This window comes from Homo sapiens, chromosome 3, assembly GCF_000001405.40.
Source record: "Homo sapiens chromosome 3, GRCh38.p14 Primary Assembly".
Classification (NCBI taxonomy): Eukaryota; Metazoa; Chordata; class Mammalia; order Primates; family Hominidae; genus Homo; species Homo sapiens.
This window is the reverse complement of record NC_000003.12, coordinates 24,162,002-24,182,343: the sequence shown is the minus strand read 5'-3', so window position 1 is coordinate 24,182,343 and position 20,342 is coordinate 24,162,002. Positions and strand designations below refer to the sequence as shown.

At 37.6% G+C, this 20,342-nt stretch overlaps 1 protein-coding gene and 1 long non-coding RNA gene across 54 annotated transcripts in view; one reads left to right on the top strand and one right to left on the bottom strand.

The window, feature by feature from the left end:
• The window catches only part of THRB (thyroid hormone receptor beta), a 378,556-nt gene that overhangs the window by 313,365 nt on the left and 44,849 nt on the right, over window positions 1-20,342 (top strand). The window lies entirely within an intron of this gene.
• Window positions 1-20,342, bottom strand: part of THRB-AS2 (THRB antisense RNA 2) — a 38,633-nt gene that overhangs the window by 7,613 nt on the left and 10,678 nt on the right. The window contains exons 2-3 of the long non-coding RNA NR_121667.1: window positions 8,440-8,560; window positions 4,332-4,394 (exon numbers count right to left, since the gene is read on the bottom strand). This is a non-coding gene — a long non-coding RNA (THRB antisense RNA 2). The remainder of the gene's footprint in view (window positions 1-4,331; window positions 4,395-8,439; window positions 8,561-20,342) is intronic.

Genomic DNA, 20,342 nt, shown 5'->3' with positions numbered 1-20,342 from the left:
CATCGTAGGTGATCACTGGAATTCAGTCTTTCCCTTCCCCAGGACATCTCCTACAAGTTGCCCTGAATGCTTATAATTCTATCATTGCCCTTCCATTGTGGTCTTTCTTTTTTTTGTTTGTTTTTTTGTTTTGTTTTGTTTTTGAAACGGAGTCTCACTCTGTCGCCCAGGCTGGAGTGCAGTGGCGCAATCTCGGCTCACTGCAAGCTCCACCTCCCGGGTTCACGCCATTCTCCTGCCTCAGCCTCCCGAGTATCTGGGACTACAGGCGCCCGCCACCACGCCCGGCTAACTTTTTGTATTTTTAGTAGAGATGGGGTTTCACTGTGTTAGCCAGGATGGTCTCGATCTCCTGAACTCGTGATCCGCCCACCTTGGCCTCCCAAAGTGCTGGGATTACAGGCACGAGCCACCGCACCTGGCCCCACTGTGGTCTTTCAAAACGCAAACTTACTGGCTGAATATCTTATCAAGTCATTAGCTTCTCCAAATGGATGAATTGGATAAGATTCCTTTTACTCTTGGCAGGGTCCAATAAAGACAATGGAAAGAATGGGACTAGAAGGAGGCCATGAACAGGGTAAGGATAGCAAGGGATAAGAGAGAAGGAAAAGAATAATAATAAGGAGCAGGACTGCCAAGTAACAAGTAATACTGTGCAGCTTGTCAGGTTGTGAGCAGCACTCACTTCATTGTCAAGGCTCTAAAGACAAATGTCACCTATCTCACTGTTTGTCAAGGGCTGACCCTGAGCGTAGGTTTAAACTACAAAGAGTTTCCAGCCAAATCTAGACAAATGTGTGAATGACGTAATGATCATAGGCTATCAAGATATCCCCAAAGGCCTCACCTTACACAGCTGGCCTGCTGCATCGTATCTTAGGGATTTTGCCCAGCACTTAGTAAACACATAGGAGAATGTTTAGAACAGATGACCATTGGTTCTTGGCTTTGACGCTTACCAGCTATTTAACCTTGGCTAAATCAATAATTCTCTCCAACAAAGAATGTAGTCAGAGATTAACTGACCACAAAGAAATCAAATAGATGAATCTACACTCCATTTTTAAAGTGGCCCTCCAATATGATAATCATATTTTCCCTTGTGGGGAAGACAAGGAAAAATATATTAAATCATTACCAGCCCCCTAAAACAAGCTATGATCATCATGAAAACATAAGACCAGTTCCAGGATAAGTTGGGAAATCAGTTGCCTTAAACCATCTCTTTCAGTGTCCTTACTTCCCTTGAGGATATCTTTTTCCCAGGAAAATAGGAGTCTTCAGGCTATCCAAACCCATTTTCAGTCTCTACGAAGTCTAGGCTTCTTCCCTCTTCACATTCTGAAAACATTCTCATTTTCCATAAAAAAAACTTATTCCCCTGAAGGTGTTGGTGACCAGTACTGACTTACATCCTTACCTCTCCAGGGCAGGGAGGCTTTGAGTTTTGAGTACTCCTGGAGATGCAGCGACCTCATGCCAAAGGTAGCCTCTGATAGTGGCATTGCAGTCTAGGAAGCACATACATGGGGGAACCGTATCACCTGTGCTTACAACCTGCCCTGGCATAGGGCTGGTTTATCTCTCCAGTTATTCTATTCTGTGGCTAATTCTGTGAGTTGTATTTACAGATTGGTCTTTCAGGTCTTGGCCAGTTCAGCCTTCTTGATTGAACTGGAATAAATATGAGCCTCTATCCACACTGCCCGGGTCCCAGAAATTCAGAAACAGCTGAGCTTTTCAAGTAAGATTAGAGTCAGAAATTCTCCAAGGTCCAGAGCTATTCTCCATGGCACTGACCTGACATAGGATTATTATATATTGTGAACCTCTGTCCCCATGACATTTGTCAGTATGGGCTTATATAAGGGACTTGACTTTATTCAACTTTACTGCCTTTTAAAATACAGAGCTGTGCTGCATATGTGACTGTTTAACTCAATTGTCTATATGATAAAGACACTTGGCATTTGAGTCAGAATATCATGTGTGGGTTGATGGTTTATTAGTCTAGACTGCAATATTCTATGACTTGCAGATTGTACCCCAACCACCCATAGTTGCCTCAGACATCTAGTACAGCTATAAAGGCCATACTATTTTAGTTAAGCCTCAGGACTAATGAAAAGATATGTATTCAGCTCTTTGTTTGCCTAGTTCTGGAAATAACTTCTTATAATAAGACTAAGATATAAAACTAAAGGTCAAAACTAAAGGTCAAAACTGTGTAAGTAAAAGAAGCTACTGCCCTTTAAGGGAAAAATAATACATGTTAATTTTTGCAGCAATTTCAATTGAATGGGTTTCCAGGGAAACAGGTATCTGCAATGGGTTCATCCCACTTAATATTTAAGACAAAACATAGGGAATTTCTTTCTTGTTACCTTTTCCTTGTTATCTTACACACGACATGCTCATTCTTAAATTTCCTTTGAAGCGATCATTCTATGCTTGAGTCTTATTTGTTCTCCCAAAAAAAGAAATGAATGCCCGTTCTATGATTTTTTTAAGACTTTTTGATATCAGGAATATAAGCCTGGTGATCACTACTAAAAAATAAAATTATGCAAATCAATCTGACCCCCTTTTTTAATGAATCAAAAGCTATTTGTTATTACTTGTTTTATTGAAAATCTGCTTACTTTCTGAGTTGGATTCTGTTTCTAAGAGTTGAAGTGGAAAAATAAAATTGGTGGCAAAGGACCACTAAGTCTTCAAGGTTGAGTAAATTGTACGTTTTCTTGGAAGAGCTCCTCAGGCAGACCTATAAATTCCTTTTTATATTTTGTTCTAAATTAATCTCAGGTTTACCAAAAAGTTGTAATAGTGCAAATAATTCCCATACCCCTCACCTGGATTCACCAATTGTTAACATTTTACCATATTTCTTTTCTCATTCTCTGTATGTGTTTGTTTGCATATATACATATTATTATTATGTCATTTGCAAACCATATGAGAGTAAGTTATAAACATCATGCCCTTTTAACTCTAAATACCTGCTAAAACTAAGGAAATTATCTTAGGACACCATAGCACAATTATCAGAATTGGGAAGTTTAACGTTGATGCCTACTATTTTCTAATCTACAGACTTTATTTACATTTTACAAATTATCCTTCCTGCCACCCCCTTGGAGGGGGAGTTGAGGTGAGGACCAGAGCTGGAGAGAGGACTTGTCTCTAAGGGGTTTTCACAGGCTTCATTCCTCTAGATAGGGCTGGGAGAGGCCACCACCAATTGTCCTCTATACCAATCTTATTTTCCGGTCTGGGATCCAGGCCAGGATCATTCATTTTATTTATTTATTTTTTATCTCTTTAGTCTGCTTCTTCCTCCCACCACCTGTGCAGCTTTATTAGAGTATAATGGACAAATAAAAATTGTATGTATTTATCATGTACATGTTATGTTTTGCCACATTATACAGCTTTAAATTATTAAATCAAGCTAATTAACATATCTATCACCTATATCCTTATCATTTTTTGTGGTGAGAACATTTTAGCAATATCTAACTGAAATTATGTACCCTTTGACGAACATCTATCTGTTCTACCTACCCTCCCCGCTGCAGACCTTAGTTATCACCATTCTACTCTAGTCTGCTTCGATTTCAGCTTTTTCCATTCCACATATAGTGGAGATCATGGAGTGTTTTTCTTTCTGTGCCTGGCCTATTTCACTTAGCATAATGTCCTCCAGGTTCATGTTAGTCTGGAACCGTTTCACAGTTTTTCTTTGTCGTTCACACCATTGAAGAAATATTTCTTGACAAAATACAGGCTGATTATTATTTTGGAATGTCCCTTAATTTAAGTTTGATGGATGTTTCCTCATGATTTTTTTTAGACAAGGTCTCACTTTGTTGCCCAAGCTGGAGTGCAGTGGTGAGCTAATAGCTCACTGCAGCCCTGAACTCCTGGCCTAAAGTGATTTACCCACCTTGGCCTCCTTTGCTCTGGGTTACAGGCATGAGCCACCGCACCCAGCCTTTCCTCATGATTAGAATCAGATTATACATTTTGGACAGAGATACTAAAAAATTGTATGATACGGTGTTTGTTCCTATAAAATTTTGAATTTAATTATATGATGCAGAAATAGTTTTCAATCTTCCAAACCACTTATATCTTAGTGTGAGCAGGCCTAGATCTTTACTGGTGAGCTGGCTCATTATCTTACTGGGTTAGAAGAAAGTATATTTTCTAAAGTCCTCTAATAAGCAGCTATTCAATGCTCTAAAGGTGAATGTCAGAAGAAAAAGTTACTTGTTTCTCTGTCCCCTGTGACATTTTTAAGGTTGGACCCATAGGATGATACTTACCTAGGGAACACCTTTCTCCATAATAGGGGCAAAGAGCACATTGTCCACGGTCTGAAGACTTTTCTGAAGATTAAAAAAAAGACACAGCCACTTTATTCTCGTCTCATATTTTAACTAAACATTCTTTTCTTTCCACAATCCAATCATATTACATTACAAAACAACTAAGATCAGAGTATGTCTTGATAACCTTGATATTTATTGTGTAACTTTCTAGAACATTTTGACATTTGAAATAAAATGAAGAATTTCAATTTGCCATTTCTGGATTTGGATCTCAAGGGCACCAACATGAAGTAGATCCTATTTTTGCAAACTTTTACAAATCCTTTTTCTCTACTCATCCTTCAAGGCCCAATTCAGACATCGCTTCCTCTGTGCGCCCCCATGCCCCATCAGAATGAATTTGGATTTTTGTTTTTAATGCTGTGATGAAATTTTGTACAAGTATTCATTGTGTTCTGCCTTATTTAATTGTGGCTTCTGAACATGCCTGTTTGATTCACTGCAGATGGTGAATTCGTCATAATTTATACTGACAATGTTTTAAATTGAGTGTGTTCTGTGTGTCCAATACTGTACTATATGCTGAGAATAAAAAGTTAAATGCACACCCCTTTTTTCGTAGGATTTTTCAAACAGAAAATGTTGGCAGAGCTTCGAGTCTAGGCTTGCAATGAGCAGTAACTCTGTTGACAACCAAGCGATGATGAAAATTCTATTGGCTGGCTGGCATTTGTCTTAGGAAAGAATAATGAAGAATGTAACCTACGTTGTTTCAAAAATAATGATTCCATTTTACTCCATGTTCACTTAACACTTGAAGTATTCAGTGTGTGGGATACTGTTTTCTGCTTGCTGATAGGTATTTTTAGTTTGATTGCAAATTTCAGAGTCAGGGCCAGGTCTTCCTTCTATAGTGTATCTCCATTAGATCTGGGAGAATAACATACATGGTATTGATACATAAATGATGTAAACTTTATTTTATTTTGAGAATCAGTCTTAATTAACTCAAGCTGTTTGTAGCCCTGCATCTATTTTTGTAAAGCTTCACTGAGATATAATTTACATGCCATCAAATTCCCCTGTTTTAAGTGTATAGTTCAATGATTGTTAGTATATTTACAGAGGCATGCAACCATCATCAGGATCTTATTTTAGAACATTTCCATCATCCCAAAAGAAACTTTGAGTCGTTTACAGTTACTCCCCATTCCTGTGCCCAGCCTCTGGCAACCATTTTTCTTTCAGTCCCTGTAGATTTGCCTTTTCTGAAGCTTAACAAAAGTGGAATGCTACAATACGTGGTCTTGTATGACTGGCATCTTTCTCTTAGTATACTGTTTTTGAGATTCACCCACAATGTAGCATGTATCAGTACTTTGAACTTTTTACCTTTTATTATTTTTATAACATTTTCAAGTATAATGTAGGACTGGAGCCTTTACTGACAAAGAATAAATCTTTTGAAACTACATCAGCTGTGGCATAGTCTAAATTTTGCACTAGTTGTTCTTAAGGGTGAAAAAGCAAAGTAAATGCAGGTGATTCAATTGTTCATTCATTATTCCTATTATTAGGGAAATTTGTTTTAAAATTAATCTCTGACATGCTATTCTGGGATAAAGAAAGTATACTGTAGCTGTTAAATGTCAAAATTATTCCACTTAAACAACCACTCAACTTTTCACATCAAGTCGATCATTGTGAATTACAGTGAAATAATTATCTTAACACATTAAGGGGAAACATATCTACTTTATCTAATGATTAAATTAAAAAATACATTAAATGAGTTGCTATGTGAAATTCAAGCAAAACATAAATGATATTTATAAAAACAAAATATCGAAGAGCATTTTTTTCTAGAGATATAAGGAAACATATTGACTATAATAAATATACAATGTGACATTAAATTAAGCACATCTTTGGAAAAACAGATAAATCATTGAAGTGATCTTAGAATTTGTGTTGAAACACATTATTAGTCACCCAGAAATTCAAAAACAATAAAATAATTTTCCACTTAGAAAAGCATAGCGTGGAAGTGGGAAAAGTGATTTCTAGAATAGTAACTTGAGGGCCTAAATTTCAATACTAACCTTTTCCCTTTGTAATTATGTACAGTAAGAAAAGCACCCCTCAGTTTTCCACTGTGCAAAATGAATGGAAATACCTTCCCAAGCAATCTTATTGTTTATAAAGACACCATGCAATAGACCTCATCATTATTATGTAGCCAATTGTCTAATTAAAGGTACACCAAAACTGAAATATTTTTGCATTTTTTTATGCCATGATATTCAAGCCACATCAGACTATATTAGATTCATTAAGGTTGGTTTTGAATCAAATGTTCATTTATAAAAAAGAGCAGACATTCCACTGTTGGCTTAGCAAATAGAAGACTTCAATGATGATAACAGTGGTCTGAAGTATATTTCAAATTTTTCACTTTTCTTTCAATCTCCAGCCTTACGAATACTATTCTGTTCACTTTTGTATATGTGCATTTTTCTTTTGGTGTGGATCCTGAGCTCTTTTTGAATAGTATCTCATTCTCTCAAAGCACAAGAAGACTTTATGATTTGCCTTTGGTCTTCTTGGGAAATATCAGTCAGAATAAAACCCTTGATCGTTATCCCAGAGTTCTTATGTGAAAGACACTATGCTAGGACTCCAGTCTTTAATCAGCACTGTTCCATCCACTGGAAATACTATGCAAGAAAGGGCTTGGAATAGTAAAAACGTGTCTGGGAATTTTGGACCCTACAACCCATTACTTGAAAACTTAAATGGAACAAATCTTGAATTTAGGCTGAAATCAGACTATATATTGTTTCTCAATATGCAGAAGAGGATTTCATGGACTAAACATCCAGCAAAGATTGTTTAGTAATTTTCTGAGTGTATAAATTCCCTTGTCTGACATGATTAAGTTTCTGGACTCATCAAAGAGGACAGATGACAAACCACGAAGAATCACTGCATGTCAGTCACTATAGCCCTACAGTTTCCCAGACTCCAGCGTAAGCTGCTAAATGGCATAAGGGCAGCAAAACAGAGACATACCATTTTGGACATAAATATGGTATTTGCATGCATTGAGAATACCACTTATCAGTCTTATGACTGTGGGCAAGTTATGGAACCTCCCTGAGTCTCAGTTTCCTTATCTCTAAAACAGGAACAGTCATGTCTACAAGCAGGATTGCTGTGAGGCTTAAATGATATAATCTATAGGAAAGTGGTTAGCACAGTGCATGGGCCACTGTACGCAGGAAACTGTGTGTGACCAAGCCAGAGAGATGCTGTTCAACAAAACTGCAAATGGCCAGCATTCAGGTCATATGAGAAAGTGGCAAGAGATAAGAGTAGAAAGTAGTCAGGAGCTACATTGCAAAAGACTTCTAAGTCTTTAAGCTTTATCTTAAAAACTAAAGATTATTGCAAGCTAGGATTGGGGTTGTGGGAGGGGTAACAGGTGACATGCTTTAGATTCTCCTTTAAAATCAATTCCCCTAGCTGCAACGTGGTGGATGAATGGAAAGATCAGAGTAAGATGAGAGGTATAGAAACCTCTTGGGTTAGCCAAGTTTTCTCTTAAAAATGAAATGATTAGTTTAATTAAAATAGTAACAGCATAGAATAGTTGGCCCTTTGTGACTAGAGGCTGTGGCAAAGCTACAGAGAGATAAGCAAGCTGTAACGAAAAGTCCAAGTATGTAATTTCTACTTGAACAGATCTGGATTTGAATCCTCACTCTTCAAATTACCATTGTGCCACTTCAGACAAATAGATTTTTTTTCATCTATTAAAAAAATGTGGCTACATTAGGACAAATACCTAATGCATGCCCGGCTTAACACGTAGATGACAGGTTGACAGGTGCAGCAAACCACCATGGCACACGTATACCTATGTAACAAACCTGCACGTCCTGCACATGTATCCCAGAACTTGAAGTAAAATAAAAATTTTTTTTAAAATGTGGCCAGTCATAGCTGCTGTAGGACTATTGTGATGTTTAAATAAGATGATGCATATAAACACCCAACACAGAATCTGACACACTGAGTTTAGAATTGGTATGTGAGGTACCTTGGCATCCACAGAAAGGGGTTTGGTAGGTGGCTGGAATGCAGGTCTGGAAGGCACAAGAGAGATTAAGCACCATCTGCACACGGGCAATAGCTGAAGCTGTAGACACTGATGGCTTCACCTGGAAGAATATGTATGGTTAGAAGAGGGCTGAGAATAGAACCAAAGTTATGGCCAATTGTAAAAGACAGATGAGGAGATCATCCCTTGAAGATGACTGAAAAGAACTGTCCAGGGATAGAGGAGACATGTGGGAAAAGGCTGTATGACATGGAGGTTTCTGGTATACCATCAATAGGTTTGGCTGTGGAGTTGGGTGGAAGCAGAGAGCTTGTGCTGTTGTGATAGTATTATGTCCAAAGACCCAAAAATGTCAGATATCACTGCTCCTGTTGACAGTCTGGAGTGACAGTGATAAAGTTTGTTGTGTATTATGGTACTGGTAGTGCATGGTCACCAAAACTCAAAGTAGAGGCCAGGAAAATTGAGCTGCATTGGCCACATGGAGCACGCCGTTCTTCCTAGCCTAATTAGGCCTAAAACATTTTAGATCAAGGACAAAGTCAATACACCTGCCAGGACCAGGAGAAAACCAACAGAAGAAGACAGAAGTTTTGAGAATCCAGGGCTCAAGGTAACAGCCAGTGATGCTAGAAAAGTTGACACAGACTAGCTAGAGCAACTTCAGCCTTTACTAAGACAGTGGTTCTCAAACTTCGGCTAGTATCAGAATCCCCTGGAGGGCTTGCTGTCCCCACCCCCCAGAGTTTACGATCCAGTTGGTCTGGGGTGGGCTGCAGAATTTGCATTTCTAAGAAGTTCCAGGATATGCTAATGCTGCTGGTTCAGAAACCACCATTTGAGAATCACTGACCTAAGAATTTTGGACTCTTTTATAATCTTTGTGGAACCACAAAAGGCTGTTCTTTTTAACTTGCTCATCCTAGAAATTGACATATTTCATCTAGTAAAAGGCTGCTGTAGCTAAGTTTGTGGTATCTTTTGCATTAATGTGCTGAGGCAATTATTCCACCTTTGTGAAATAAAACATGCAACTCCAAAATTTAGACCCACAAAGAGGGTGTCCAGGTTGAGGAAGCCACCAGGACTGCCTTGATGAGAGTCTCTTGCCCTTTGGAAATCTCTCAGTTCAATTACTGGGCCTGCTTCCATCAGCTTGGTCCCTGAGACTGTCTTGTTCCTGCTTCAATGTTCTAATCAGAGCCAATTTTTTTCCACTGCACCAGATCAGAATCCATTCCCTTTTCACTAGTAAAACACTGTCACTTTTTCAAGCACATTTTTGTAAAAGCATATTCTGCTTGGTGATCGATTGTGAACAAAAGTCTCCCCTTAGTGCCCTTTTGTAGAGCTGTAATGGGCTAGAACTATCAAAAGCTTTTATGAAATGCCAAGGGAAAAAATTAGAAACAAATTCAGTTAACAATATGTTTTAAAAGAGAAGAGCTTTGAGTTTCTATTCCTACTGAAACAGACTTAATTCAAGAGCCCAAGAGGCCCTGGTCTTGTCCTGTGCCCACCTGGGGATTTGCATTTCCATGTGTCCAGCCTGCCTCTTCTGGCCGGCAGCTTTCCTCGTTGGTAAAGACCCTAAAAAGGACACTCCCCTTCAGCAGATTTCTTCTCTCTGTTCTTGGTGTGTAATCTGAGAAATGCACTGTTATGTATCCGTGCCTTAAGCTCCAGCATATATATCCAACAGAGCAGATGACTAGGTTTTTCAAAGTATGTTTCATGGAACACTTGTAACAAATGTTACAAGATACACACAGGGTTCTATGATCAGAAATGTTTAGGAAATGCTGTTATACAAAGTCATTCAAAGTTGTGTGTGTGTGAATCTCCAAGAGAGGAGCATTAATGTGTCATTTCCCAAACTCATTTGATTATAAAGTTTATTTTTATTGTTTTCTCTTTAGATCATCTCTTGGGACTGTATTATGGGACCACTTAGGGAACACCATCTGAATATTAACCCAGTAGCCATGGTGTTCATTTATTAAGAATTACACCATTACAGTAGTGGTAGGGGAGGAGGAGCCATGCTAATTAACACTCCCAGGACTGAGGAAGTAAAAGTTTCTAAAATGGTTAGAGTTTTGCATGATCTAGTGACTCAAGGCTTTATATTATTTGGCAGAAATGCTGAGGAGGGACAGTCAATCCCCAGGCCTAAGACAAGTTCCTTTACTCCCTTTCCTCCACAGCACCTTTTTAACCCTAGAACACTAGGCCCAGGTGGGAAAATAAAGGCCCCACCTACAATAGGAGAAATGATACAGTCAAAGCAGGAGTGGGTCACGGCCTCAACGGCTACCACCTACCATGTGACAAGTCACTTCATCCCCTTGGGATTCAGTTTTCTCATAATCAGATAAAATACATGTGGAATGCATAGCTCAGAAGTTCCTGCTGTAATATCCTAGGATCCTAAGAAAACATAAAACAGGTCTCAGCCTCCATAAGTGTTCCATATGTGTTAGCGTCTGGAGGGAGGGCTGCTTTAAAGTTGGGTGCTCCGGAAGTCCCAGGAGCTTGCCCTGCTCACATCTCTGGAGTTGAACTGATTTGAAGTCCTTTTCAAAAGCAATGAGTCCGAAGATTCCAGACCTCAACAATCCAAGAAAGCATGGTCAAAAAGTTTTTGTGCACCTCTTTGGTTTCCGCCAAAATGTATTAGATGTGCTTTCAGCACTTCAGTGGTAAGATCGAGACTCATGCTTCTTTACATTTTTAAAGGAAACTTTCCTCAATTTGAGTAGTTACTTCAAAGGGCAGCAAATGTCTCAATCCTTTTTATCATCTCTTTTGGGGCAGAGATGATTGGCACTGATGATGGTTACTTGTAATTCCATAACCTCAACTGAGGTAAGTTTAATAAACAGCTCTATCTCTGTTCTCTTGTGACGAAGATATAAAAGAACAAACTGGATCGATTTTAGACAGACAGATATCTCCCAGAAACTTTCAAGCCTAAGATAATCCACTTATTGCAATATGTAACATTTTATCTTTTTTTTTTTTAAATGCACATGGATTTTGGTGCAGAGAGTCCTCCATCTTTTTTCTGAGAGAGCAAGTGTTGTTATGTATATGAAGAGTGTCAGGGCTTTCAGGCCTCTGATGGTATCAAGAGGTTCCTGACACACAAAATGTCACTTAGGCTCCATCCAAACAAATGAGAAGGGCTCTGTCCTGTGAAGAGCTAAAGGGAGGAATATATCAGACAGACAGAAGAACATGTGCAGCGTCCTTGAATTGAGGCAGGCAAAAACTTGGAGTGCTCAAGGAATAATAAGGATGCTATTTTGGTTTATGTCAAGGAAGCAGGAGGGTTGATAAGTAGTGGGGAAGGACCACCTTTTGGTAGAGGTTTGGATTTTGTTCTAAATACAGTACAAAGCCACTGAAGGTTTTAAACAAGGAAGAAACATTATCTGATTTGCAGCCTGTAAAACATCACTCTTTGGTGGCTGTGTCAAGAAAATATTAAAGTGGGCCAAAGCTAATGAGAAAGCCAGAAGGGAGTCCAGTTAGGAGATGATGATGGATTGGACTGCGAGATGGCAGCGGAGAGAAGGAAGTAGTTGGATTAAACATATATTTTGGAGGAAGAACCAATGAACTTGCTAATGAATTGGATTTAGGTAGTGAAGGGAAGAAAAGAGTTGTCTTGAAGGTTATTTGCTTAAGCTCCCAGGTGGATGGTGGTGCCAAGATGGGACTACTGTGAGAGGAACAGGTTTTAGAAAGAATTAAGTTGGAGATGCCCTGGTTGGGCAAATGGAGATGTCAAGTTGATGGTTGGATATAGGATCCTGGTTTCAGAGGTGACATCTGCGATGGAGATATCCACATGGATGTTGCATATAATTAGTATTTAAAGCTGTGAGACAGGATGAGATCAGCTAGAGCAGGGCTTGGCAAACTTTTTCTCCAAAATACCAGGTGGTAAATATTTTCAGCAGGCTATAAGGTCTCTCTTGCAACTACTCAACTCTGCCATGGTAGCACAAAAGCAGCCACAGGCAATATGTAACAAATAAAAGCTGTATTCCAGTAAACTTTATTTACGAAACAGGTGGTGGGTCATGTTTGGCCCACAGGCTGAAGATTGCTGACCTGTGACCTAGAGTATAGACTGAGAAGTAGCCCAAGACAAGACCTAAGAGATATATATTATAATATATATATATAATATATATTATTATAATTATTATGTATATATAATTATGTCACTTACTAGGCCAGTCATCATTCTAAGTGCTTTACTTATATAAACTCACTTAATCTTCACAATAACCAATGAAGTGACTACCGTTATCTGTTTTACAAATAAGAAAACTGTGACCTAAATAAGTTTATTTCTGTCTCGAGAAAAAAAGAAGTCCAGAAGTTGGCAGTCCAGTGCTAGTATGGCAATTCTGTGTATTTCAGCAACCTAGAATTTTCCAGATCATTCTTCCGTAATCCCTAGAGTATAGTCCTCACTCTCATGGACCAAAATGATGGCTGGGGCTCCAGTCATTGCAGGGAGCAGAAAGTCAAAACAAAGTAGAGGCAAATGGAATGCACCAGTTGTCTTTTAATGTGTCTTTTAAGTTTCCTAGAAATTGCCTTGCAACACTTCTTCTATTACATCTCGTTGGCCAGAAGTTAGTCACACAGACACATATTGACAAAGGGGAAACTGGGACGTATAGTTTTTTTCTCAGGGGCCATGAGCCCAACTAAAATTTAGCGGTTCAATTACTAAAACAGAAAGTGAGAACAATCATTAGAGTGGAAGTTAAAAGGCTCTGACCAGTTGCTTTAAAGCTTATCAATTATCTTTCTTTATGTGTATTTTTGCAAGTACAGTTAGTTGATAGCACCCTTCCTAAGACATTTCTGCTCAGCCATTTCATATCTTAGGCCTCCACTGATGATGTCCTACATACTCTTCCAGCTCACTGGTCACCTCTTCTGTGAAGCCATCCCTGGCACTCTAGGCAGATTACTCCTGTGTCCCCATGCCAAGTTTATTACACTTCTCCTTGTATTTCGTTCTTTCCTAGCGTGCCTCCTTTTGTGCTGCCTCCTCTGCTTGACTGGTTAACTCAAAGGCAGGTGAAGCCTGGTTGAAGTGTGGAGGGTAAATTGCTAAGAACTAAGGGAAATATGTAGTGAAGCTGCAAATGAAGAAAAAGGAGTTAGTACACAGGATTTCCTGCTCCTTGGTGAAGGGACTGGGGTCAGACACCTAGTAGAACAAGTGGTTCTCAAATGTTGCTACTTATGTAAATAACCTCAGGAACTTCTTTTAAAAATCTTGATGCTAAAGTTTCACCCATAATTATTAAAGCGGACTTTCTATAAGTCACACCTAGGCGCATATATATATATATATATATTATTGATTGAAACACTTCTAATCGGAATTATTAAAGTCCTCCTGAGTTTATTTAAGGCAGTTGGATGCACTATAAGTGAAATAACTCTTAAGCTGCTCTTTAAATAATTAGAGCAGGCAATCAAGAAAATAAGACAACAACCTCACTGAAGCTTACCCCATTTGTGACACATAATATGTTTAGATTGCTTTACTGACTTTACAAAGAAGCATGCAAGACTGAATCACAGGTGACAGATGTGATTGCTTCTATCAGGATGTGAGGGGCCATATTTCAAATTCAATGTAAGTGTTGAGCTCCATTTTCAACTAATAGTAATGAAAGTTTTGTGCATTCGTTACAAGTAAAGAGTATTCCCACTTGGTATGAGGAGTGTTTCAGAATGTTTTGTTCTCTTTTCTCCAAACAATAAACATTCGTGAGGAAGTGAGCTCTCTTAAATATGTTTTGAAACTTTTTTTAATTTAAAGATTTCTGAGGGAATTCAGGATTTTTTAAATTCAATAAAAATACTGTTGACCTTTCTGACGTTTAGTAAAAAGAGAGAGAAAGTTTTTCAGCAGCTATTCTTTCCTTTTTCACTGCAGTATTTATATCCAGTTCCAGGGGAGAATAACTCTCCAATTTTTCAAGCATATTTAGAGATTTCTGAAAATTATTTTTAAGTATTCCTTTGGAATAAAAGTTGAGTCTCTGATTTTCGTTGATATTGTTACTGATGAAAAGCAAGAAATTGCTTGGATTTCTGCCTTTAATGAGAAAGAGAGGGAGCCAGGAAATGCACTGGGCAAAACTGCAAAATCGAATGGATTCAACACGCAGCTCTTAACCAGAAAAAGAGACTTTGGAACATGTGCATTTGCCAAAAAAGAAAACTGCTTTATTGAAAGGTTAATTTTCAGATTAGGCTTGGGAAATTTGAGATAAATAAATGACATCAGACAAAAAAACATAAGGCCTGGATCCTTTTTCCTGGGGTTTTCAGAAAATAGTTATTGCTTCCAATGAAATGTTTTGACATTTCCAGTAGGGAGAAAATGTTAATTGTAATATTGTGTATGTGTTCTTAGTAACACTGAATAAATCTTTCATTTGTTTTAATGGTAATCAGAAAGTAAAAACACGATTAAAATGTTAGCTGTGTTCTTTATTCCTTATGGTAACTTTTCATGCTTTCTAGGATATTGTGATTCATTTTCCAGGTTCAAATATATACCAACTGACGAACATGCTTTTGCTTGTTTTATATCAGTTGCAGTTTTTAAAGGAGTCTTATTACTATCCTCCACATAGGTCTGCCTGGGTCTCTTTTCTAATTTTGTCACATCTTTAGCTCATTCTACAATTCCCCACCTTTTCCCTTGAGTCTATGGCTCCTTTACTACATTTATAAAAAGTCAGCAATTAAAGACAGCACAATGGTGGTCCACTTGACTGTATATTTAATATACATGCTATTAAGCTACTTATTGACAGAGACGGTGATTTTTTTTTTCTGAACAGCCATCTCTGTAGCCACCAACTCCTTGCTTTGTACTTAACAGACACCCCATAATTTGTTGAATGACTGTAATACCCTCCTTACTTCTGCCATATGTCCCTGTCCCAGAATTCCACGTTGCAATTGATGACTGGAGCTACATGTCCAAAGCAAAGGTCTCACTGTTGAAAATTACAGTATTACATTGTTGATGGTCCTTTAGAGACAAATACCAACAAGGTCACATGCTCATGGACCAGCAGGAAGCCAAATGTAAACGTAACCACCTGAGGCCGAGCCCTGAAAACAAGCTGCCTAAGAAACGGAAGGAATCCCTAGTGTAGAAGAGCAGCATCCGCCCTTCCTGATGTCATGATCTACAACTATGCATATATGTGACATGCACACACTGGCCACCATCCACAGGGAGAAAATACCATTAGTAATCATCCTAGCAAGCATTCACAATCTAATTTGGTATTTGTTAACTCCTTAGTTAAAAGATATGATGATTCTTACAGAAAATGCTGTTCCCTTTTTGATCACTATCTTTAAGTAAGTACATGAATACCACTTAAATCACATTAAATCTTGAAAATAATCTCAAAAGCAGATTTGAATGGGAATAAAGTGGTAAGTGTTTACAGTTTTCCACGCACTACTGATCAGAGTACTGTTAAGCACCAACAGAAAAGGAAAGCTGCTATATAATAGGGGTATTCCTCATATAGGGGCATTGGCATACAGTCTCTCATGCCTTTATAAAGAAAACATAAATTACAGAATTGAACAGTTAATGTAAGCTTTAGGTCTCATGTAGATTAGTGCTTATGAAGTAGAAAATAATCATGCGCAAGGAACAGAATAAAACTCACTTGCAGACATCAGCAGCATTTTCAACCGTGTACTTCCTTGGCATGTTTTAAAAACCAGCGGGACCTATGTGTCATGGGAAGATGGTTGGATCCTAGTATGAAAACCCAGTCAGTAACATTCAACAACAGATTCAACCACCAATATTTGCACAGCTAGATTAATGTTTTGGAGTCAGTCAGTCATCAGGCTCATTACTACTGGATTTTCTCTGGTTCATGCTAATAAACTAGATTATTGATTTTAGGATTTTCTTTGTATCCAAGGATATTCTCTAAGATGTCTTTATAATGTTTCATGCTTAAGCTGTCAACCAAAATGACATAACAATGAGTAATCGTTTTATAATCATGTTGAAAGGGGTTAAAAACAGCATATAAAATGCATCTTAGCAGCTTCAGAGTAACATTCTCGCTGTCACTTCCCTATCTGGGTGGAGGTCATTCCTACCTGCCTGCCATCTTCCCCAGGAATTAACTAGCTGCATGCACAGCTTAAGACCTTTGATAGTCATAAATCTGCTTTCCAATATGTTTGGATGGCAGAAGAGCTCAAAAGACACCTCGGTCTAAATAGGATTTTAGCACATCAGGTGCTATTACAAAGTAAAGCAGGCTGGGTTGCTGTGTTGGTGGTGGTGTTTATTCATCTTCCCTTCGCGTTTCATGTGTATGTATGTATGCTTCTCTGCGTATATGCCCAGCTCTCAGGGTGTATGGGGCTGGAGAATGCATGCGTAGACTGTGTGTATATGTAAACTAGAAACTGAACCAGGGAAACAAAATGAACTACTGTATGCAAGAAATATATGAAGTGCACCCAGCTGCCGGCAGCAATTGCTACATGCAGTCCACTGATTATTACGCGTATTTTGAAGATAGTCCGGGTTACAGCGGTTGCGATGCTCAGGCTGTGCCCAGTAACAACATATATATGGAACAGGCCTGGGCAGTGAATCAGCCTTATACCTGTAGTTACCCTGGAAACATGTTTAAAAGCAAGGACTCTGACTTGGACATGGCCCTGAATCAATACAGCCAACCTGAATATTTCACTGAAGAAAAGCCTACTTTTTCTCAAGTGCAGTCGCCATCGTATTCTCAAAAAAAAGGTAGGGACCATTTTGCTTAAATTTGTTCAAAGTTTCACTGTTTGTTTTCGTTTCATTTTAAAGTTACAGTTTACATCAGCTTCGTCAAATCTTTGAATTTGAACGCTAAATATTTGAAATTAAAAACGGCAGTAAGAGGGGTTGCTAGGTGATTGAAGGACTCTGTGAACATCAAGATTTCCAAGCACTTTTTTTCTTCATCTTTGAAAGCTGGAGTGAGTTGCCTTTCTGTATTTTGCATGTGTGTGTATATATTGCCCAAAGTGACTATTGTTGGCTTCTTTGCGAAAGAAAATATGTGAAAGGTTTCCTTCTGGCGGGTAGGTGTTGTGGTGTTTGAAGTGAGATAATTCTCTCTAGTTCAGGTTCAGATTAAAAACTCATTTGACTTTTCCTTGGCACTTCATTTTGAAAGTTTATTTTAGTTGACTAGTTAACTAGTAAAATATTTAGTGATTTAGTGATTTCTTTAACAGTACTATACTAATGTTGATTTGCTAGGATCTGTAAATGTTCATTTTAATGTATTTATTTATCCATGTAAACAGTAAAGAATCTATTTGTAACCATGTCAAACTGTAAGATGTAAAACTCAAAAACTGAGAAACTTTACTTTGCTATTTTGTCCCTAAAGTTGAACATGTCTGTAATCATATCAAGTGAATTCTCTTTATGAAAGCAAGTGAAACACACTTCAAAATAGCCAATATTAAAACCAGTACGATATCCATTTATCTTAATAGACACTGTGGCTTTATAATGCTATTTAAATTTCTGTCAATAGAACATTTCTTGTATTACTGAAAAATAAGATACTGAAAAATAAAATAAGGGAGGCAAACAGGTAGAACATTAAGTAGCAACTGCCAGATAGGAATGCTTTTGAAGATAGTGTAAATGCTAGTGCAGATATGCCAGAATCTCATGCTTTTGTATATAATCTATAGGATATTGCATAGAGAACCAAATTTACGAGTTTCTATAATTTACAAAAACATGATGCCCTTTGATCCTCAAAGGTAAATTTCTCTGTTAAATTAATCTTAAAACATAATGTGGTTTATTTAGTTGTGGTTTCTATAAAATTTATCATTTGCTTTTCTTAATGTGACTTTATAATTGAAAGTAGTCTGTTATGAAAACAAATGAACAAAATTTTATAAAAACAAAAACTAGAATCTGTAATTTTTACTATATATAATGTTATTCTATAACTTCCAATCATGAAATATTAAGGGGATTACAGCATGAAATATATTTAGAGTTTCTCATCTTGATTTTTATTTATAAATATAGAGTTTTGCATCCTTTTGAAGGTCATCAGAATCTCATTTATTACAAGGGATACACAGGGTAAGTCCCCTAATGGAAACATTTGAGGTACATTGAACATGTGCTATTTCATTTAATAGTATAAGTAATTTAACTTTGAAAAGAAGAAATTAACATTGCCTCATTAAACATACTTGGATATGCCTTTTGTAGTGTTGTAAGAAAATATTGGTACCTGTCAATCTATGTGCTCATTCTGCTGTTCTTAAAAATTCCTGCAGAACGTTTCAGGCTCTTTTCTCTTTTATCTTTTCACTGTATTTTCTTCAACCAACACTGGGGAATATTTGCTTATAAAATGTTAAACCAGGGGTTCTTTATTAATTAATTTGATGCATGAACTAAAGGAAAAGACACATTGTATGCATATATTGATGTAATTTCAAAGCCATATGTCATTGAAAGGCCACCGCCACCTGCCAAACTCACTAAATCAAAACAGGCAAATATTCTTAAATGCACCATTATTTACTTTTACAAGTCTTCGAGTAAATCCCAGTAAAACTAAACCCAGCTGTTAACTGTCTCTTAGGACAAAAGGTTGTACCCAACATGTTTATCCATATTGATCCACTATTGATTTTTGTTGTGTTGAATGACATCAGTAGTGTCTCGTTAAGGCAAAATTAAGACCATAAACAGGTGTTCAGTGGGGTAGGCCTCATTTTCCAATTGGATTTTTATCTATTCACAATAGATAAAAGTTCATAATTGCTTCATCTGTGTTCATGGCTGTCATTACAGCTTTATAAACTCCAATACTGCAGCTGTGTTAACTTTTTCTTTATTTTTTTAAGGATGGCTTATTTCCTAGCCTTTATTTTCTAATATACAGAGAATCTTGTAAAAAAAAATTACAATCTTATAAAAAAATTATAGGTACAAACTGGTGAAATAAAGGAAGGCTACACTACCCAATGTTAAGAATGGTTATCTTAATTGGTAGACTTTAGAATAACTTTTAGTTTCCCTTGGATTGTTTTTCTACAAAGTTTTTTTTTTTTTTTTGCATTCATAGCCGACAGAATAAGTTATCAAGTTCTGGAAGCATTAAGAACACGAACTAAGGAAGAGTCAGATGTCAGTTCATTGAATCACATTTAAAATAAAGCTTCAAGAATTGAGGAGGGGAAAACCGATGTAATTTTCACATTGAGGAGGCCTAAAATGCAGAATGTAATGTCTGTCTTATTTTTCATATGGATTATGAAAAAACAAATTTTTAATTTTCAAAAGTTAGGGACAAATGAAAAGAACCCTATCATTCACTCAGAAGATATGATATTTACTGTAATTCTAGTGACATAGCTGTGAAATGCTATGCTAAGTCCTCACGGGGCCAGTGCTGGCTGCACACTTCTGGCCCCTGCAAATTCAGGAGAAGAAGGCAGTAAGTTTGGAATCAGATGGAGGAGAATTGGCAGACAGGTTATTTGTTGTGCTTTCTGCTCTGTGGCTGAGGTTGCAGCAAAGTAAAAAGTTGACTTTTTTTTCTCTTTTCTTTCTTTAAAAAAAAAAAAAAATCCTTTTGTGGGTGGAAGTGCTAGCTGTTTCCATCACAAATACTAATCACATTCCGAAGTTCCCGAACAGCCTGCATCTGCATCTGGCTGCTCTGAAGGCAGCTTTGCAGGTCAACCTCTCGATTTAGTCTGGACCAGCCGGGTCTGTTGAAACAGAAACCTTCCTAGGA